Source organism: Homo sapiens, chromosome 3 (assembly GCF_000001405.40).
Source record: "Homo sapiens chromosome 3, GRCh38.p14 Primary Assembly".
Lineage (NCBI taxonomy): Eukaryota > Metazoa > Chordata > Mammalia > Primates > Hominidae > Homo > Homo sapiens.
Window position 1 is genome coordinate 152,168,686 of NC_000003.12, and position 22,392 is coordinate 152,191,077.

General features: G+C 37.1%; 2 long non-coding RNA genes across 2 annotated transcripts in view; both read right to left on the reverse strand.

Annotated features, from left to right (window-relative positions):
- LINC02917 (long intergenic non-protein coding RNA 2917) overlaps positions 1 to 22,392 on the reverse strand; it is an 89,729-nt gene that overhangs the window by 52,987 nt on the left and 14,350 nt on the right. The gene's annotated exons all lie outside the window — the stretch shown is intronic.
- The window catches only part of LOC101928166 (uncharacterized), a 45,966-nt gene that overhangs the window by 9,222 nt on the left and 14,352 nt on the right, over positions 1 to 22,392 (reverse strand). Inside the window, exon 2 of the long non-coding RNA NR_136178.1 lies at positions 6,114 to 6,188. This is a non-coding gene — a long non-coding RNA (uncharacterized LOC101928166). The remainder of the gene's footprint in view (positions 1 to 6,113; positions 6,189 to 22,392) is intronic.

Consider the following 22,392-nt stretch of genomic DNA (forward strand, 5'->3'; position numbering starts at 1 on the left):
ACACACCGGGGCCTGTTGTGGGGTGGGGGGAGGGGGGAGGGATAGCATTAGGAGCTATATCTAATGTTAAATGACGAGTTAATGGGTGCAGCACACCAACATGGCACATGTATACATATGTAACCTGCACATTGTGCACATGTACCCTAAAACTTAAAGGATAATAAAAAAAAAATCTAAAATTCTCCTAAGATAAAAGTTCATTTTGAATGCAGTTAAAAATCCTATCCATTTTGAAACAATACAAATTTTATCTCAGAATAGACAAGCTGGAACAAAGCAGTGAAGTTCATTTATGCTGCATTATTCCTGAAGAATTCATAAGAGGTTCTGGCTTATTTTACTTTTCACCTAAAGCCAAGGGGTGTGTGTGTGTGTGTGTGTGTGTGTGTGTTGGGGGTGAGTGGGGTGGGCAGAGGAGATGATGATATAAAACATTTCTTCCATTCTATGATATAGCTTTTTCACTTTTTAAATTTCTAAAGTCAGGATATAGTCCACAATTTACGGGAATATTGAATATCCTACAGATTTTGGATTTTGTTAAGTTCACTTTGGTTTCTTCTCTGAAAAGCTGTTATCAAATCGGTTGTGCATCTTACAATCTATGGTGTTTTATGATTGAAAATAAATGGTCTATGAACTCCATACAAGTGTAGAGAACAACACTGTTCTTCCCAAAAGAATCATTCAGTTCTTTCAGTTCATACAACAAAATAACTCTACAAGGAAAAAGTTGTATTTGTTTACTTTTATATTCATAATTCAACTTTGTGAATATATAGGTCAAGGTTTACTGAGTTCAGTTTTAAACATTACCTTTAAATACTATCTTATATACATATACCAAGGCCTTCTGACTGTCACCAACCAAGTTAAAAAATACTTCAGGATGGGGTATTTGAATGCTATCCCATTTTTTTTGTTTCATATTAAACTTCTAGAGAATTGAGTGTTGTACTTGGATAATCTCAATACTGAAATCTGTCCCAAATCACAGCAACAGTGCAAAATAGGTAAAATTTCCTGTGTTGGTTGGCACACTCTCTGTCTTAGTCAGTTGGGCTGCTAGAAAAAATTACCATAGACTAGGTGGCTAAAACAACAAACACTTATTTCTCAAAGATCTGGAGGCTGGGAATTCCAAGTTCAAGGTGCTGGCAGACCCCATGTCTGGTGAGGACCCTAGTGTTAATTTGCAGATGACCATCTTCTCATTGTATCCTCACATGGTAGAGAACGGAGAGAGATAGCAAGCTTTCTCTTTATTTTTCATGAGGTCACTAATCCCATTTGTGAGGCTTCCCCTTCATGTCCTAATCACCTCCCAATAGCCCCATTTTCTAATATCATTATAATGGGGTTTAAGATTTTAACATATGAATTTTGGGGGACACAAACATTGAGTCCATTGCACTCCCTTATGGCATATTACCATCCAGTCTCTCTTCTTTAAAGGCCTTCAGCTGTGCATGGTGACTTTTTGAAGATAGTCACCATAATTCTCCTCAAGGAAAGATTTTAATCTCCAAATTCCCTCCCTGAGTTTTTCTATCCATAGTTCCCATTCTTGTAGAGACTTCTTCATCCTTTCAGATGTTATAGATATATGATAATTGACAATGTATTAATGATAGTATATTAATACAAGGGTCAGCAAACTATTGCATGGCCCAAATCCAGCCTGTACCTTTCTGTGAATAAAGTTTTCTTGGAGTCCAGCCACATCCATTTGTTTAAGTATTGTCTATCACTGCTTTTGCTCTACAATGGCCATGTTAAATAGTTGGGACGGAGAACGTACAGCCCACAAAGTCTAAAATATTTATTATCTAGCTCTTTATATAAAAAGTTTTCTGACCCATATTTTAATACAGTTGACTTTAGCAACACATATTTGAACTGCACAGGTCTACCTATATGTGGATTTTTTTCAATAAATATACTGGAAGATTTTTTGAAGATTTGTGACACGTTGAAAAAAATATACATATAAACCTGTAGTCTAGAAATATTTTTAAAAAGTTTAAAAAAAAGGTCAGGTATGTCCTAGATGCAAAAATGTATGTACATACTATTCATCATTTGCTATAATAAAATGTATACAAATCTATTATAAAAAGTGAAAATTTATCAAAACTTATGCACAAACACAGACTAGACATGGAACCATTTACAACTGAGAAAAATATAAACAAATGTAAAGGTGTAGCATTAAATCACAACTGCATAAAGTTAACTTTAGTGTATACTATATTACCGTAATAATTTCATAGCCAGCTCCCATTGCTATTGCAGTGAGCTCAATCTGCTTAAAACACCATTTCACACTAATCATCTCTGCATGAGCAGTTTGTCTCTCCAGTAAATTGCATATTGTAGTAAAAGATGATCTCTTGCAGTTCTTATAGTGTTAGTGTCTCATGCAATACCATAAACCTAGAATAACACTATGGGACCAATACAAAGTGCCACTGGTGAGGAAGGAAGTGCTTCCAAAAAGCTGAGACTAGTCATGACATTACAAGAAAAAGTTAAATTATTTTATATGTATCATACGTTAAGGTCTGCAGCTGCAATTCCCTACCATTTCAAGATAAATGAATCCACTGTCAGGACCACTGCAAAAAAAGAAAGGGAAATATATAAAGCCATCACTGCAGCTATACCAGCAAGTGACTGACACAACCTTACGGTTTTTGTGAAATATCTTTTTACTCATAATGAAGATGCAGGTTTTATGTGGGTTCAGGATTGCTATAGGAAAGGCATACCTATAGACACTACTATAATTCAAGAAAAAGTAGTCATTGTATGACAACTTAAAGCAAAAGAAAATTATAGGTTCTAGAGCTAGAGGTTTAATGCCAGCAAAGGATGGTTTGATAATTTTAGAATGAGATTTGGCTTTAAAAATGTCAAGATAACAGGAAAGCATCTTCTGCTGAACTAGAGGTAACAGACAAGTTCCCAGACACTACTAAGAAAATAATTGAGGAGAAATAATATCTACCTAAACAGGTTTTTAATGCACACACAAGTTTCCTATTCTGGGCTGGGTGTAGTTGCTCATGCCTGTAATACCAGCACTTTGGGAGGCTGAGGTGAGTGGATCACTTGAGGTCAGGAGTTCAGGACCAGCCTGGAAAACATGGTGAAACCCCATCTCTACTGAAAATACAAAAATTGGCTAGGCATGGTAACACATGCCTGTATTCCCAGCTACTAAGGAGGCTGAGGCAGGAGAATCACTTAAACCCAGTAGACGGAGGTTACAGTTAGGTGAGATCGCACCCCTGCACTCCAGCCTGTGTGACAGAGTGAGACTCTGTCTCAAAAAATGAAAAAAAAGTTTCCCATTCTGAAAAAACAAAGCCACAATAAATGTATTATTAAGGAAAAGAAGTGAGCACCAGAAATTAAGAGAAGAAGAGACAGGCTAACTCTACTGAATTTTTGCAAATACAGTTGAGTTTATGATCAAGACTGCCCTTACCTAAAAGCTGCTAAACTCTGAGCCTGAAGGAAAAAAATAAACACCAGCTTTCAGTCTTTTGATTGTACACCAACCCGACCTAGCTAATGAGAACCCCTGTTTGGGATCAGTTCCATCAATGCTTTGTCCCTGAAATCAGAAGGGACATTAAATCAGACGCACATTACCAGTAAGGAGCTGCCTTATTAAAATTATTTTGATATTGGACAATGCCCCTGGTCACAGAACCTCATGAATTTAACACTAAAGGCATCAAAATGGTCTACTTGCCCCCAAACACATCTTTAAGTCAGCTTCTGATAAGGGGGTCATAAAGACACTTAAGGCTCATTGCACATGGTATATGAAAAGGATTGTCAATGCTATGGAAGAGAACCCCAAAGGAGAGAACATAACCAATGTCTGGAAGGATTACATCATTGAAAATGCCATTGTTGTTATAGAAAAGGCTGTGCAAGCTGTCAAGGCAAAAATGAGAAATTCCTACTGGAGAAAATTGTGTCCAGATGTTATGCATGACTTCACAGAACTTATGACAGCCAATCAAGAAAATAATGAAAGATATTGTAGATACAGTCTTTTAAAAAAGGAGGACAGGAGGTGAAGGGTTTCAAGATTTGGATCTTGGAGAAATTCAAGAGCTATTAGACACTGTACCGGAGGAGGTAACAGAAAATGACTTGATAAAGATGACTGCTTCCAAATGTGCTGGACAATGAGAAAGAAGACATAGAAGAAGCAGTGCCAGAAAAAAAAATTGATATTAGACAATCTGGCCAGAAGGGTTTCAGTTATTCAAGACTGCTCTTGACTTCTGTTGTGACATGGACCCTTCTATCATATAGGCACTGCAACGAAAGCAAATGGTGGGGAAAAGATTAGTAACATATATAGAAATATTTTTAGAGAAATGAAAAAGCAAAAAGTCAGACAGAAATTAAAACGTATTTCCATAAAGTTACACCAAGTGTGCCTTCTACTCCTGCCTCCCTTCCACCTTCTCCACCTCTTCTGCCTCTGCCACCACTGAGACAGCAAGACCAACCCCTCCTGATCTTCTTCAGCATACTGAACATGAGGATAAAAATATTTATGATGATCCATTTCTACTTAATGAATAATCAATATATTTTCTCTTTCTTATAATTATTTTCTTAATAATATTTTCTTTTGTTTACTTAATTGTAAGAATACAGTATATGATACATATAACATACAAAATGTGTGTTAACTGACTGTTCATGTTATCGTAAGGCTTCTGGTCAACAGTAGGCTATTAGTAGATAAATTTTGGGGGATTGAAAAGTTATATGTGAATTTTCAACTGCAAGGGGGATCAGTGCCCCGAATGCCCACACTGTTCAAAGGTCAACTGTTTATTATTTGCATTGAGATATAGAGGTAATTCAGCAGGTAATTGATTTGAAAGGGTCCTGCTGCATAATAAGAGATGGCCGCTATATTCTACTTCACTTTTGCTTTACAAAGGTATTGTAGAAACAACTCATTAAGTAAAAGTGGTGGTAATAATGTTGAGATAAAGCTTATGAGACAGAGAATCCTGTAAGCACAGGCATTCAGTATTTTATCAAGATACCTGACAAATACATTATGCTCTACTTATGATCAAGATTGAGAAATGTTGACCAAATTGCAGTAAGGTCAGACAAATTTCACAACTAATTTTTTCTAAATAGTTAATATGAATCTGAATAGTCATCTAGGAATGTACTTCAGATTCTGGCCTTATTCAACAATTTTATTAATGCCTATTATAAGGTCATTTGCTGCATGCTGATCAAACCTGTATATAAACAATTTGGGAGTAATAGATAATATGTTAACTGAAAGAATAGCAATATCAACAGATTAAAACAAGAGACTAATTATACCCAGATGTTATTTAACAGGTATGTAATGAAAAGTTCTAATTGTGGTATACAAAACCATTTACACAACTATAAAATACGGGTCTGATGCCTTAGTAGCCTGGTGGGAAACATTTAAGTTTAGTTGACAGTAAACTCAATATGATTTCCCTTTGTATAGTAATTGCTAAGAAAAGTTAATTACGTTATTATGTATTAATTGAAATATGTGTCCAGAAGGGAGGAAAAATAATCATACAATATCCAGTTAATATGTTGTGTTGTATTTAGTGTTCAACTTACAGAGAAACTTTCACAAATTGGAATTTGTCTAAAGCAGACCACCTAGAATAATGAGGGACTTGACATTAGGTTACAAGAATAAAAGCAATAAGAAAGGGACAATTTAAGCTGTTGTTTTCAAATTTGAAGGGAGGACTCAAAGTTTTAAACTTGCCTGTAGCGCTAATCTTTGGATCAACATTAAATAAATAAACAAGTAGAGTTGACTCAAAAGATAATCAGCTTAGTTAGCTGTATACTCATTATCAGTGGGGCCATAAAAACAGATGATGAAGGTAATTCAGGAATCAGAAGTTAAACTAAGTTTTTCCTAAGACACTTAGAAGATTCTCTAAGATTTATGATTCTTTAGGTTTTAGTTGCTATGTTGTTGATGATGTTTAAATGAAATGCCTCACTCCAAGTACCTTGCCATGGCATTCTCAATTTTTTTATCTGTTACCTACCCATATATCCACCTTTGTCTTCTACTATGCCAGTCTTGAGTCTTGTGCACTTGGTGATATTTGACCATTTCTTACCTATAAGAACAGCAATTTCATATGGTTAAATCCAATAATCTAAATTTTCTCCAAAGATGCCTTAAACTTTCCAGCCTCTAGGTATATATGATTCCATTTCTGTAATGTAACAGTCCAGAACACTCTCCACCTCCACTTATTCAAATACTACTTTGTGTTTAAAGTTCAGTTTGTCCACTCATCCATGAAGACTTCTTTAGTCATTTCAACGTCTGATTGTCCACCTCTGCACATCTTTAGGACTTCTCACCCAGGACAAATGATATTGCTTTATATGGTTATTTGCCTTCTGCTATTAAGCCCTGGCTCTCACAAGTGCCATACCCAGTGTTTATCGAGCTACAGTATGACTTTCCAAACAGTAGAGGCTCAATATCTAGCTGCTGATGATACAGTTGCAAAGTTCAGAAGTGGCTAACCACTCTGCATCTGAATAGAACTGATGCTGAATGAAAGGCTATCATAATTTCTCACAGGGTCTCTGACCCATGATTCACTGTAAAATGTAATTAACATACAGTTCTCATACTTTGTAGTTAGCAGAGACAAAACTGAACATTTGTAGGTACATTCATATTAGGAAGGCTTTGGGCAGTGCAGTTACCAGGGTTATTTGTGTAGAACTATGAATTAAAGAGTTTTGCAAAGGCAGATCTAACATTCTTTTCCGCACAATGAGGTAAATCTTCCATTTGTACATTCACTCCCATTTTCATCTCTTTCTCTCCTTGAAATTTGTTTTGCAAGAACATTTTAATGCATTTATCTCCTTCCTTCAGCTTGTGAAATTACTCATGCCTGGGATGCATAATCGAGAGGTGTCCTGTTACATCCATGGGATTTGAGGCTTTATGAATCATTCCAACATCAGAAGAATGTTTGTATAAGAAGAAATAGATTTATATGAAAAAATGTATAAAGAATTTTTAACAACCCTGGCTCTTGGTTTGGGCAGGCTTACAAGGGAGAATTTCTATGTATGCAGGCAGCAAATACATAGTTGGCAACATTTAAATATTAAAATAGCTTCATGAAGGCAGGTGCTTTTTCACTGGGAATTTGCAGTGTGCATTTTCATCAATTTATCCTCCTCATTTTTACACATTGGAAAGGAATGACTTTAATCCTCAGATTAGCACATGGCAGTCCTTTAAAACTGGAATTACAATTTCTCCAAGCACACGGACATACCTGGTATGGAAAAAGGATAATTATCTTTACAGAAAAGCTACTAGGATGATTTGCCTGAGGGTGGATATGAAATCCTCTGGACATATTTCAGAGAAACAGCAATTTTTAAAAACATGATAGTTAGCTACTCTCTACTTGAAATAATGAGGTTTGTTTTTATTAATGAGAAGTTCTGGAGTTCTGTTTTCATAATGGTCGAGACATTGTGTGTGTGTGCATGTGTGTGTGATCTCTAAAATTTTATTTATACTTATTAAAATTAGGTTTTAGGCTACCAAGAATTTTTGAGAACACTAGAGGCTCCTTGTCACAATAGGAATCATCGGAATTTCAGTAAATGTTATTTAGTCTAGGGAAGCCCTTTCAAATGAAATGGCTAACACTGGAAATAATGCTGGGCATAGGAAGAGTGTGGTTTGTGGTTAGAAAGCCTGCAACTTCTAGTTCTCCAAAAGATCCTTTTTGCTGTATTCCTGTTCTCCTCATTTTTTGAAGTTTCCTAGCATATTTGATTTTCAGAAACTTTTCACAAAAATACCTGAAATTCTTTCACATAAATGAAAATGAATCATTAAATGTAAAACAAAATATTTGAGCTGTAATGGAGACCTGGGTCCCATCAAATCCAACTCCTTTATAATTCTATAGAAATGAAGCACGCTCTACAGAAGTTAAGTGTACAACTGAATTATTGAAAAGCTGGACATGCAGACAGTGTGTTCATTCCTTTTCATCATTGCCCTTTTAAGTCTGTTTTATCAAATACTTCTTTCCTGCCCTGGGATAAAATCTTGGGCTTTTCCAACTACTCTCAGGTATTAATGAATAGTGTGAATGAATAATCTAATTTTCCAAGCATTGAAAAGTTTAATATCCGTATCAGTTAGCTCTGGGCACCATAACAAAATACCACAAACTAAATGGCTTAAAATTTATTTATCACAATTCTGGAGGCTGGGAATTCCAAGATCAGAGTGACAGCTGATTTGGTTCTTGATGGGGTATCTCTTCCTGACTTACAGACGGCCACCTTCTTGATGGTGGGGAAAGAGGAGAGATCTTTCTCTCTCTTCCCCTTCTTATAAGGCCACTTATCAGATTAGCACTCTCTCTCCTCCATGACCTCATTCAGCCTTTACTGCCTCCTAAAAGCCCTATCTCCAAATATAGTCACATTGGTGGTTAGGGCTTCAACATCAAAATCTGGGGGAAGGGGACACAATTCCAACAATAACAATATCAAAGCTTCTGTCTCTCCTCTAATTCATAGCTGAGGCCTAACTAAGCCAGTTTTGGAAAGTGGTCACCTTTTTCCAGTTTTATGTTATTATTCATTCTAGCTTTTGTATTCCTCAATGGTCACAAAGCTGCTTCTTTCTTATGTGATGTGGAAGAAAGATGGGGAAAGAAAGAAGGGGAATTGGTATCATGTAGTTCTCCTTTCTCTATTCGTGCACTTGAGCAGATCTCAAAAAGTTTGTACTTTTAGGGTGTCCTTGGGAGCTTTTCAAACAAACCCATCATTATCCAGGGTCCTCTTCTGCTGAAGACCACAATGCTACAGAGTGTCTCCTCTAGTTGACTGTGTATGACACCTTCCTCAGTCCCTGCTTCTGAGTTTCCTACAGAGACTTTCCTAGTTGTGTTGCCATGTTCCTCTAGTGACCTTCATAGTCAGGCTCCCCTTCCAGATAACTCAAATCCAGCTACCTTCTGGGAGCCATGCAAATGTCTACTTTAACTTGTCAGGAAGAAATAACAATCAAAGCTAGCACTCACTATGTGCCAAACCCAGTGTCAAGCACTCACCATACTTCAACTCATTTCATTCTCACAACCCTCATTTGAATTATTTCTACAAAGCCACAGAAAAATTAGTTACGCAACCATGAACACTTAGTTAATAAGTGGTGGATGTGAAATATGGACTTAACCAGTAGAGACACAGAAACTACACTTTGAACCACTGCACCACACTGAGAGAATGACCAAGAGTGTTTCTTTTCCTCCAAATCTGTCTCATCACTCTGTCATCATAGGCAGCTCCAGCCTCAGTTTCTAGGTGTAAGTCAGGGACTCTTCCTCATTTTTTTCCAACTGAAGGAGCACAGACTAAGTCCTTCAAGGGTTTCATGGAAGTCTGCCTCATTCGATTTATCTGGAAAGCACCACCTGCTCTCCTCTATAATGAGAAGGAGAATAATCAAAACCATAATGTCTTTGGACAAGCTCACTGGATCCTTTTAATGAGCTCATATGGTATTGTTTAGCTAAAGATGGAAGATCCAATTTTAAGGCCCCACTCAGATGGCCTAGAACATCCCACTAGAACATAGGGGTATTTCATACCTGGTGCTTTAATCTTTGAGGCCCCACTGAAATTTGCCAAGGGAGGGAGCATACCATTTTGACATTCTATTTAATGAATTGCTCACTATCACACAATTATCTAGTTGCTAAGCCAGAAGGAAAGTAGTCACATAGCTACTAACAAAGTTAACAAATCTCTAGGAAAACATGGATTTTCTCAGGAATCAAAGCTAAAGGATAAAATGGCAATGTATGTGGGTATATTTCTGGGATGTGTGTGTGTGTGTGTGTGTGTGTTTAATCCGCTATCCATTCTGTCTTCTAACAATAGCAACCATATTTTCTTCTAATGAAGTACTCCACTTATACCTCAGGCTATGTGATCCAGGCAAAATTTACTCAGCTCCCATAGTTCTAGAGGTAGGTATCTGAACTCATTGCAGCCAAATTTCATAGCCACAATAACCAGTTAAGGGATGTACAAGGGACCCAGTTTAGTACAATGAGAGTTTCCTTAGACTTATTCTGGAACTACTATAAAACAGATGCCTTATTTCTTCTGGACTTGCTAAAACTGGTAGCCAATTTTTCTACCAATGGAGATGACCTACCTAGGTATGAAGCGCAAATATAGGAAAACAGCCTGAAAAGAAAGTGAAAGAATCATGATGGCATATCAGAAACTCTGGATCCAGTCATATCTGAAGCTAAATACCTAAAATCTTCAATTATATGGAATTAATACATCCATTTATCAATCAACTTGAAAATAAAATATCACAATAGAATATTAATGGATGGTAAAGAGTTTTTACAGGGCCCATCATGGGGTGTGGACTGATCCTGTTGACACTCCTGAAATTATATTTCATATGTAGTTGATTTTCCTGCTTCTCTACCCCAGTCATCGTCAATGTCCTATCTGCATCACTTTGCAGTCACCTTTGTGCAGAGTCACGGGATTTTAAATTCAAACACCTGAGACTCTGCTTGAAGGCTTCTGGCCATGAAAGACCTTTCTGCTTATGCATTGATTAGGCCAGAATTTCTGAGAAGTTTATGCATCCTTGAAGTAGACTTCAAAAAATGACCATAAAAAAATTGGTAGATAAATACCCTAGTTCCCTCACACCTTATTTGAGATGACACACAGCCTACCAGAGGTCCCTAACAGAACTGAGCCACTATTTCCACAGAGATAGCCTGCTCAATTATACATTTAATTGGCTTTCTTCCCTTACTCTAACTCATCACTTTCCACTTCCTTAGTGACTTCTTGAGATCACCTCCTAAGTAAACTATTTGCATTCAGAGTTTGCTTGTAGGGAAACTCAATCAAGACACCTTGCACTGGTTACGTGTCCTCTGACACACTTATAGGTGTAGTGGTGATGATTAGCACTGTCATTGTACATAAAATCTCTTGGACAAGGGAGTTTTTGGACAAGGAAGAATTTCTATCTATGCAGGCAGCAAATACATATAGTTGGCAACATTTAAATATTAAAATAGCTTAATGCAATCAGGTGCTTTTTCACTGGGAATTTACAGTGTACATTTTCATCAATTTTGCCTGCTCGTTTCTACACATTGGAAAGAAATGTCTTTAATCCTCAGATTAGCACATGGCAGACCTTTAAAACTGGAATTACAATTTCTCCAAGCATAGGGACATACCTGGTATGGAAAAGGGATAATTATCATTACCCCTGAGCTTTCAAAAACACTTCAACTACCACTTCACCCAGGATCTAGCTCACTGGCGCAAGTGAAAGGCAGCATTGTATCCTTTTTCAATTCTGAGGTTTTCAACCATTCAATGCATAGGAGAATCTTGTCCCAAGACAACACATTGTCCCATTTCCCACAAACACACCAACTTTTCAGAAGCACCAAGATAGAGTGAGCTCTCCTATATAAAAGGATCACAGGGTTACCTTGAATTTCTGAACGGGAGAGGGCCCTTCCTTCTTATCTAAAGGAAGAGAAATGGTATAAGAATTGATTTTCACACAGGAAGGGGAATATCACACTCTGGGGACTGTTGTGGGGTGGGGGGAGGGGGGAGGGATAGCATTGGGAGATATACTTAATGCTAGATGAAGAGTTAGTGGGTGCAGTGCACCAGCATGGCACATGTATACATATGTAACTAACCTGCACAATGTGCACATGTACCCTAAAACTTAAAGTATAATAAAAAATAAAAATAAAAAAATAAATTGTTTTACTTTACTTATGAAAAGGTTATAGAAGGAATAAAATATTTTAGCTTAAAAAAATTGATTTTCCATAAAACGTATTATGCATTCTGGGACAATTTTCAATGTAAAATAATTACTCCAGGACAACTGGTGTGAACTGAGACTGTCACATGCAACCTGGGACATATAGAGTTACCCTAGGTAAGACCCAAGGTAAAAAGCAAAGCAGAACTCTCCTTAAGTGAAAAGATTTCACAAGTTTCCCCCAAATACCTCTGCTAAGAAGGACTTTAATACTTTCAAAGTGGGCTGCCCCTTTTTGTCAAATCTTATATCTTAAAATTACTTTTCCATGAGCCAACATGCTGCCAATACAACCATCTATTTTCACTTTTCTCAAACAAAATTTATGCTCCCTGAGAGTATAACCACTTCACCCACCTTCCAGGAACATTTACATTTTAAAAGGTAATTTTGTTAAATTATGGAATGTACTATTTAGAAGAAACAGAATAATGTGGTAAGTAATTTTTTTTTTTACTTTTGAAGTATAAAAAAGGATATTTGGAAACAGGGAAACTTTCATATATTCTGCCAGAAAGAAAGTAAGCTTTTAGCACTAGATTTATTGTGTAGAGATTTTCAGTGGAGTGTCAAAATAGTTTCCCGCCTCATGTGGACTTCTTATTCCAAGCCCTACTATGTGAAGGGTGCACCCTGGAGATTACCAGGGAGAAGGCCCTACCTTGGCTCTTGTCTCCAAGATTCAGAAGGCAAGTATGGGTGGAGTATATCCACACAGTTTTTGCATTGGGATTTCAGTACCACCCTTCCCCAAACATCAATTAATATTATTATAATATGGTCAGATTTCAAAGAGTCATGGAGTTCCTTTATTTACTCTTGATCAGAGTGCCAATACCTCTGCAGTTTTTCATAAACTACATGCAGTAATTCTATCTTTGTATCCATCATATTGCCATAATATCTTCCAGGTGTTGCTTTTCTTTACACTTTATTGGACCAAAACAACAGAAACATGTTTGTATTAGCATACATACACATGTGAGCACATGAACACACATACTCTATGTCATTTAAGTGTAGGTTTTCAAAAAACTGTGCAGTTTACTTTGACTTTCAGCCATACACAATTGCTCAGGTAATGTTTTGAAAATTTCTAATGTGTTCTTTTGCATCTCTGAAAAGAATAACCTTTGCCTTGAGTACATAACATGTGTATAGGGGAAATTATAAATTCTTAACTGAAGAAATTCAGAGAAAAAAACACACTGTATCACTTAGGAATTGACTCTGGCTGCTAGGAACAGAGAACTGACTATAGTGACTAAAAATGTGGGCATTTTATTCTTTCATTAATGGAAGTCCAGAAGTAGGCCCTCCAGGGTTGGTATGGTGGCCCCAGAAAGTCACTGAGGGCCTAGGCTCCTATTATTTTTGCTCCACCATCTTTAATACATGGCTTAAATTTTCAAAGTCAAAAAATGGCTCATAAAGTGTTACCATCACAGTGGCATTCCAAGAAGAAAAAAAAAGGTAGGGACCTCTTTTGAGTTTAGTGTTCCTCTGATAGAAAGAGTGTGATATGACCAATCTCTCTTAAATCCTTGTCTAATATGGCTATTTGCTAAACAATCCCTTTAGTTAACGCTCAGCCTTGCCTTGGGGAAAAATTGCTTAGTTTCTACTGTAATTTATCTCTCCCTTGTCTTCTACCTCTGAAGTGATATATAATATCTGGAGGAAGAAGTATGTGGCTTGGGAGACTTGGTGTCTTTAGCAAGAGAGTGCAATCACCTGGCTTCACAGTGGGCCTTCAATGACATCCATGGGTCTCCAGTGTCCAGTCTTTGACTTCCTACTACCTAAGTGTCTTGCTGGCCTCCAGGACAAAAGTTTGTAATTTTTTGCTACAGTGAAGCATGCTATTTCTTTACCTGCTTGATTCAGTTTTCTTATTGATTCAGTTTCCTCTTGATTCAGCTTTTCCTGTATATAGACCCATCTACTATTTCTACCTCCTAAAACAGCCTCCTAAATGGCAACCCACCCATCTCCTTTGCTCTCAACACAATGTCCACAGCACATAGGAAATGAAAGAGCCTCTGGGATGACCCTACAAATTCTGTATGCATGACCATGCCACTGTGCCCTCATAATTGCACTAAGGCTCCCCTGCATTGGGCTAGGATACCCTACACAGCAATTTCTTCCTTAGGTACCCACAAAGGAAACAGAACAAGAGTGTACTGACTTGGTATTGTTATCATTTATCAAACATGTTCCTTCTCTGGATCAAAGCTGGAAAAGAGAAGTCTAGATATAGCACCCGATCTCTTGGAAATATTAACAAGACAAATATTAATTTGTCTTCCTAAATACATGAACTCATCAGCTTTGCACTAATAGACCTAAACTATCCATCTGCTGGAGGAAGACTAAAATGTATTACAAAAAGAAACCATTTATTGCGGTGGGAATGAAAAGAGATATTTCACTGCTGTTATGCAAATAAGATAATGCAGTAAGAAAAGTGTCTTGCAAGCCACTACATTATCTTGAAAAATGATCCAATAAACTTTTTTAAAAATCTGTTTTTCTTACCGTTTTGTATTTCAATAACCAAGCCTGGAAGATCAGTATCAGAGTTTTCTCCAGTGCAGAGAAAATGTCCTTGTCTCCATAAGGTTTGAGAGGAGATCAGAGTTATAAAAGAGTTTGGAACAGAGGGAGAAATTCCCAGAAGATGGCACAAAGAAGGGGAGATAGGAAGATAGAAGAGGAGAGAAAAAATATGTTGATTAACAGGAGAGCAAGACTATCAGAAACGTTTCCAAATCTTGAGCCTTTGGTTATCCATACCAATCTGTGATCTTGTCAGGTGGAAGAAAGTCTTAAGATTTACCTTTCCTAGTCACCTTTGGTTTCCATACAACTTAAACAGGTTGTATAGAAAACTTCTCTTAAAGTGGTTGAGAATCGGGTGTGGACTTTGGCAGATGGGATGGTTTTGGCAGGGACAAGGTGGCTTTATGGAAAGCGCAGCAGAGTAGACCACCAGATGGAGCCCAAGTGAGCTTTACAACTTGACATCGAGGGGCCTATAGCAGCATCAGGAAATGAACTGGGTTATCCATTTCTTTATCCATCCACTAGACTCTTACCAAGCTGTCAGAGAGACTAGAGTGTGCACCACTCCACCACAGCCACAAATCCATACAAAGTGCCGAATGAACAAGTAGTGACAAGGCAGAAAGAAGACACTGCTCTGTAGATACATTTAGGAAGAAAAGCTGATCAAACTAAGCTTTCTCTTTTTCCAGAGAAACGGTATTAATGACATAGAGAAATCATATGAATTATCCAATTGAGCTAAGTTTTAAATTCGGCTTGGTATTTAGTAGTCTCTTCCCAACTCCTGGTGAGTATTGGTTGTCTTCGCCTCTCTGAGTTACAGTAAAGTTTTTGACTCCTGTTATATTAGGATTCCCTCTCCTCAATTAGACTCAAAATCCCATCCTATCACCTGCTTCCCGCATTGCAATGTCCTGGAAAAATAAATTAAAAGGACATTTTTACAGTAAACCTACTTTGCTTCCTAATTTTTGAAATAATCAGATCTGCTTCCAAATCCTCATTAGCTGTATTGATGAGCTGAACCAAACAATGAGGAAACATTCACAGCTATAGCTGAACTTTCAGCATGGGCCCCACTAGGAGAAATCTTTTTGCTTCTATGTCCTTACAGCCTCTTGTTCTTTTGCTCTATTCGTACCTTCTAAGTGGTGGGTTATATAATCTTTTAAAATACACATGTAGAACAATCCAACCTCTATGTTAGAGGAAAGTAAAATGATGTCCTCACAAAGGTCTAGTTATATCCTCTTCATTCTTCCTACTAAATACTGAATCTATTTAGACCCCTGAGTTCTTCTAATGGAGTGAGGGTATTATTGTATACACCAGATAGGAGTGGCCTCACTCTACTCCCCTCCTCCTTCCACCTTTTTTTCAACACATAACCAAGAGCCCTTCCTGCAGATTTTGTTTGTTAGGGCAGGTTGGTAATATGTTGACCACCTAATAACATTGGCAAGAAAATTGCATAAAAGTTGAGTCCTGCATATGATTTTACTTTATAGTCATGAAAGACTTTCCATGAAGTCAATTCTCACTGCCCCTGCCTCTTTTCCATGCTTTTTAAATGGGATATGAGTACTCACATATGTGGGAGTGGGTCAGCAATTTTAAGAAATAGCCGAGTAACATTTTCCCAAAGAATCAATTATACTTAAAGACTTGGATAAAAACCATTCTCAAAATCCTATGAACTTATGCCTAAGCAAGAGTTTTAAAGAAAGTTCATCTTTGAAACACAAGACTTTGAGCTATAGTCCCAAACCATCCCATACCCTCCCCATCCCTCAAGACACATGCTGTCTCCATCCACTGCCAAACTTCCTCATTTCATACAGATAAGAAGCTTTGGATTTTTTTTTTTTGCATAAGTCCATGTAAAATTCAAGAGTTATCATATTTAAGAGTGAAATTGCCCTAAGGAAACTTTCTACTATTATAGTTTAGTAGTGAAGTAAGGAAAGTAGGGAAGTAAGGAAAGTCCGAATTTGGGGCAGTGTATGACTGTATATTTAAGATAATCTGGCATACAGGTTCTTGACACAAATTCTCAAAGGCAATCAGAGTTTTTGACTATTTAGATATGAATTATCAATATTAAATAAGCTAAGAAATACCAATTGGGTTTTGAAAGAAGTAAAATTGGGAGATTATATTCATATAAATTATGCTATTATTTGGCCCTGATTTTGTGTGTGTGCGTGGTGTGAGTGCATACATGTGTGTGAGTGCATGCACATGTGCTTGTGTGCATGTATGCATGCCTGGGTGTGTGCGTGTACACATGTGTGCATGTGCGTGTGTGTGCATGTATGTGTGTGCGTGTGTGTTCTACACTAAAGTGAAGTTTGTTCTGCAAGCTACTGGCTTGGTTAAAAAGGTTTGGAAACATGAGTGCAGTTCCAGTCATAACATTTAGACCTTCATTTCAATCCCATAATAATTAGCTTAAGTAATGTCTAAATATTTCTTTAAGCCACAATATCCTATTTTCAGCAACGGACTCTAAATCATAATGCACTGTATTTGCCTCTTTCTGACTTGGAATAAGTTCCCATGTGGAACAGTTGTAAGCTCCTTTGAGATGTATCAACTGCACCAAGATATAAAGTAAGACTGGCAAAAGGAAATATGTTTGAATCCCTGCTCTGACGAAATAATTCAGAAAAATTTTATCTATATGCTCTGCATCTGATTTAGTTCTGTGTTGGCATCTGCTTCTCATTGAGCAGAATCACCTCTGTTACTATTAAAAGGCCAAGAGCTGTCTTTGAAATTACAATGACGTGCAATTAAGAAGTTATTTCAGTTATCAGCATACAGTAACTCAACTAGCCATAGTTAAGAAAGTGTATAAATTCCAAAGACATTCAAAACATCTGGATTTGGATGCTTCTCCCTTTCCATAATTGATGTGTTAGCTGCTCATGGGTGAAAGAACATACAGCACATTTTAGGGACATCTGTTTCAAGTTAGGGTTAATTGATTTCCATTCATGTCTTTCTCTTTTTTTGCCCAAAATATATCAGAAAATACAGATCAGGAAAAAAAATGCATTTCAAACAAGCTTTTGTATTTAAATGCATGTATTAAGAGAGAAATATACAATTAATATAAAACTTCCTGGAATCTTTCACTACACTATGACTCAATTGTGATAATTTTCCTTAAAATCATAACTAAGACATTGAGTAATTAGTATGTCGTCATCACTGTGTTTAGTAATTTACAATCATTATCTTTTTTTTTCTTCTTTCTTTTTTATTTTAGACAGAGTCTCACTCTATCACCCAGGCTGGAATGCAGTGGCGATCTCGGCTCACTGCGATCTCTGCCTCCTTGGTTCACAAGATTCTCGTGCCTTGGCCTCCTGAGTAGCTGGAATTACAGGTGCACCCCAACACGCCTGGCTAATTTTTGTATTTTTTGTAGAAACAGGGTTTCTCCATGTTGGCCAGGCTGGTCTCAAACTCCTGACCTCAATTGATATGATTTTCCAAATGAAGAAAGGTAGTCAGAGATGGAAAGTAATTTGCCCAAGGGCACAACTCTTAGCAAAAGGAACAGCTGGAATTCTCACCTAAATGGTTTGATACCAAAGCTCACATTGTATAATTGCACTAATGGGTTATAAAATGCAATAGTGACAAAACCATTATATGGCACCAATCCTGCTGTGTGCAAAGCCTTACATGAAGTACGTTCAAAAATTTTTCAACTTACGGAACTGACCACTTCACAGTCTGCAAACCATTTCATGACAAATTTTAACAAGGAACTGGGACTGAATTTTTTCCCAGTAGTGTCCATGACTTGGTAAATCTGTAAACCTCTCTGAATCTGGGTTTCCTAAGGTAAGCTGGCTATATCTATAATAGTAGGATTGCTATGAAGATACAGGGTATTAATCTGTATTAAAATGTTTTGCATACACAGAAGAATAATTTCCTGAAGTGTTAAGTCAAAAACTTACTTCCCCAGAAATCGTAACAGATGTTTTGAGTGAAAAGAGTTCCAGGTCAAATTTGTTTGGGAAACCCTGCATTTTGCTGTAACTATTTACACCTACTACCCACCCACCCACCCCACCCCACATAGAAGACATGTGTTACCTTGTTTAAAACCTCTGCCATCCTTTTCTGGTAATGGGATTCATGCTATTGGGATATTCCTCCTCCTCTGACTCCACAGGCTGCTGGTGGAGCTGCTACTCACCCAGGAATTACAGTGGAGCAAATGACCTTATGTCCTGGAACATTTTACCTTGCTACAAGAATTGTGGGATATATCCAGGAGCAGTAGCTCACACCTGTAATCCCAGCACTTTAGGAGGCCAAGACGGGCAGATTACTTGAGCCTCGGAATTCAAGACCATCCTGGGCAACGTGGGGAAAACCCATCTCTACTAAAAAATACAAAAAATTAACCAAACATGGTGGCAAGCATCTTTAGTCCCAGCGACTCAGGAGGCTAAGGTGGGAGGATCGCTTGAGGAGGAGGCAGAGGTTCAGGAGGCAGACGTTGCAGTGAGCTGAGATTGCACCACTGCACTCCAGCCTAGGCAACAAAGTGAGACTGTGCCTCAAAAGAAAAAAAAAGGAAAAAGAATTGAAGTCTAAGACTGTGAACCCAGACCTGTTGATGGTCATACTCTGTCATTGCTGTAGAAATAAATTCATCTAACTTGCTTTTTGGCTTAAGCTTCTTTGACTTTGAGGTATGTTGAATATACTCTTTGTAGAGATTCACTATGAGAAACACTAGAAAATATTAGCAGATTTCAACAAAGTGTGGGTTTGAAAAATCAGACATCTGTCTCTAGGAGTATGTTATAAAAGAAGAAAAGAAAAATCAGACATATGAAGTGGAAATAAAGTATTATTAATAATAAGGAAATTAACAAAGTATTCTATGATAATCTTTTTAAAAATTTTTTATTGATACATAACATTTGTACATTCGTATGGGGTACATGTGATATGTTGTTACATGTATAGAATGTGTATAGAATCAAGTCAAGGTATTTAGGGTACTCATCACCCCAAGCATTTATCATTTCTATATGTTGGGATCATCAAGTCCTCTCATCTAGCTATTTGAAATATACAATACATTGTTTTTAACTATAGTCACCCTACTCTGCTATCAAACATTAGAACTTATTTCTTCTAACTCAATATTTGTACCCATTTACCAGCCTTTCTTCATCTCCCCCGCTCCCCCTACCTCATCTCAACACACATCCTTCCCAGCCTCTGGTAACTATTGTTTTACTTGCTACCTCCATGAGATTAAACTTAGTGAGGAAGGCATGTTAAAAGCTGACATAGGCCAAAAGCGAGGCCTCTTATACCAAGCAATTAGCCAAGTTGTGAATGCAAAAAAAGTTCTTGAAGAAAATTAAAAGTGCTACTCCAGTGAACCCACAAATTATAAGAAAGTGAAACAGGCTTTTATGCTGGTAGAGAGAAAGTTTTAGTGGTCTGGATAAAAGATCAAAGCAGCCACAGCATTCCCTTAAACCCAAATCTAATCCAGAAGAAGATCCTAATCGCTTTAATTCTATCAAGGCTGAAAGAGGTAAGGAAGCTGCAGAAGAAAAGCTTAAGCCTAGCAGAAGTTCATTCATGAAGCTTAAGGAAAGAAGCCATCTCCACAACATAAAAGTGCAAGGTGAAGCAGTGAATGCTGACGTAGAAGCTTCAGCAAGTTATCCAGAAGATCTAGCTAAAATAATTGATGAAGGTGGCTACAATAAATAACAGATTTTCAACGTAGATGAAACAGCTTTAAATTGAAAGAAGACACCATCTAAAACTTTCATAGCTAGAGACAAGTCAATGCCTGGTTTCAAAACTTCAAAAGACAGGTTGACCCTACTTTTAGGTGCTAACTTTAAGTTGAAGCCAATGCCCATGTATCATTCCAAAAATCCTACAACCCATAAGAATTATGCTAAATCTACTCTGCCTGAAAGAGAAAGCCTAGATGAGAGCAATTCTATTTATAGTATAGTTTACTGGATATTTTAAGCCCACTATGGAGACCTACTGCTCAGAAAAAAAAGATTCCTTACAAAATATTACTGTTTATTGACAATGCACCTGGTGATCCAAGAGCTCTGATGGAGATGAACAAGGAGATTAATGTTTCCATCCCTGCTAATGCAATATATATTCTGTAACCCATGGATCAAGGAGTAATTTGAAGCCTTATTGTTAAGAAATACATTTTGAAGGCCTTTAGCTGCCATAGATAATTATTCCCTTGGTGGATCTGGGCAAAGTAAATCAAAAACCTTCTGGAAAGGATCCACCATTTTAGATGTCATTAATAAAATGTGTGATTCATGGGAGGAGGTCAAAATAATAACATTAACAGGAGTTTGGACAAAGTTGATTCCAATTTTCACGGATGACTTTGAAGGGTCCAATATTTCTATGGAGAAAGTAACTGCAGGCATGATAAAAATAGCAAGAGAACTAGAATTAGATGTGGAGCCTAAAGATGTCACTGAATTGCTGTAATCTCATTATAAAACTTAAACAGATAAAGTAGTTGCTTCTTATGAATGGGCAAAGGAAGTATTTTCTTGAGATGCAATCTACTTGCGATGATTCTGTGAACATTATTGAAATGACAACAAATGATTTAGAATATTCCAAAATCTTAGTTGATAAAGCAGCAGCAAGGTTTGAGAGGATTGATTCCAATTTTGAAAAAAGTGCTATGGGTAAAATGCTATCAAACAATATCATATGCGACAGAGAAATCTTTCATGAAAGGAAGAGTCAACCAATGCAGCAAACTTCATTGTTGTCTTCTTTTTAAAAATTGCTGCAGCTACCCGAAACTTCAGCAACCACCAGTCTGATCAGTCAGCAGCCATCAACATTGAGGCAAGACCCTCCATTAGCAAAAAAGATTATGGCTCACTAAAGTTTCAGATGAATGCTAGTATTTTCCAGCAATAAAGCATTTTAAATTAATGTGTATGTATTGCTTTTTAGATATAATGTTATTGAATGCTTAATAGACTACAGTATAATGTACACATAATTTTTATTTGCACTGCAAAACCAAAAAACTTGTGTGACTTGTTTTATTGTGATATTTACTTTATTGCAGTGGTCTGGAACTGAATCCACAATATCTCTGAGATATGCCTGTATATAATCTTAAACATTAAAATAATTCCAAAAATATGGATATTTGGAATGATAGCGTTTCATCCTAAGCCCAACTTGGTCTTCATCTAATATCCCATGTATCAAATTATAAAGCTTAATTGGTAGAGTCTGCACATTTAATAAGGAATACTAAACTGAATGGCATCTTCTGGTATTAACTCACATCCCCATTCTCAGTAGCAGCCATGAGTTTCTAGAATTGGTGATGTCTGTTAACATGCTTTCAATGAAAGCAACAGAGGATGCTACTCAAAATAGCTCTAAACATTAGACAATGTATAACCTTGCATATCCAGAGGATTTTATCATTGACCCAGGAACTATTCAACTTTTCTTTCTAATTCCTCAGCTTTGCCCTCAGGCTTATCTCTTCCACCTAATTGCAAGTGGCTGTAGCAGCTCCAATTATTGCATTCTCATCCCTCAAAAAGACTACAAAACTGCGTATCTTTCCCTTGTCCCTCTTATTAAGTAATAACAGTTTTTCCAGGTGCCTCCCAACAGGCTTTCCTTTGTGTCTCATCAGCTGAGTTACATCATGTGACCATTTCCATTTCTATTACTGGAAAGATAAATAACTGGTTTAAACTAACCAATATTTACCCTCCTATCGTGAGAGAAGTCAGACTTAAAGCAAATGGTCTCCCATT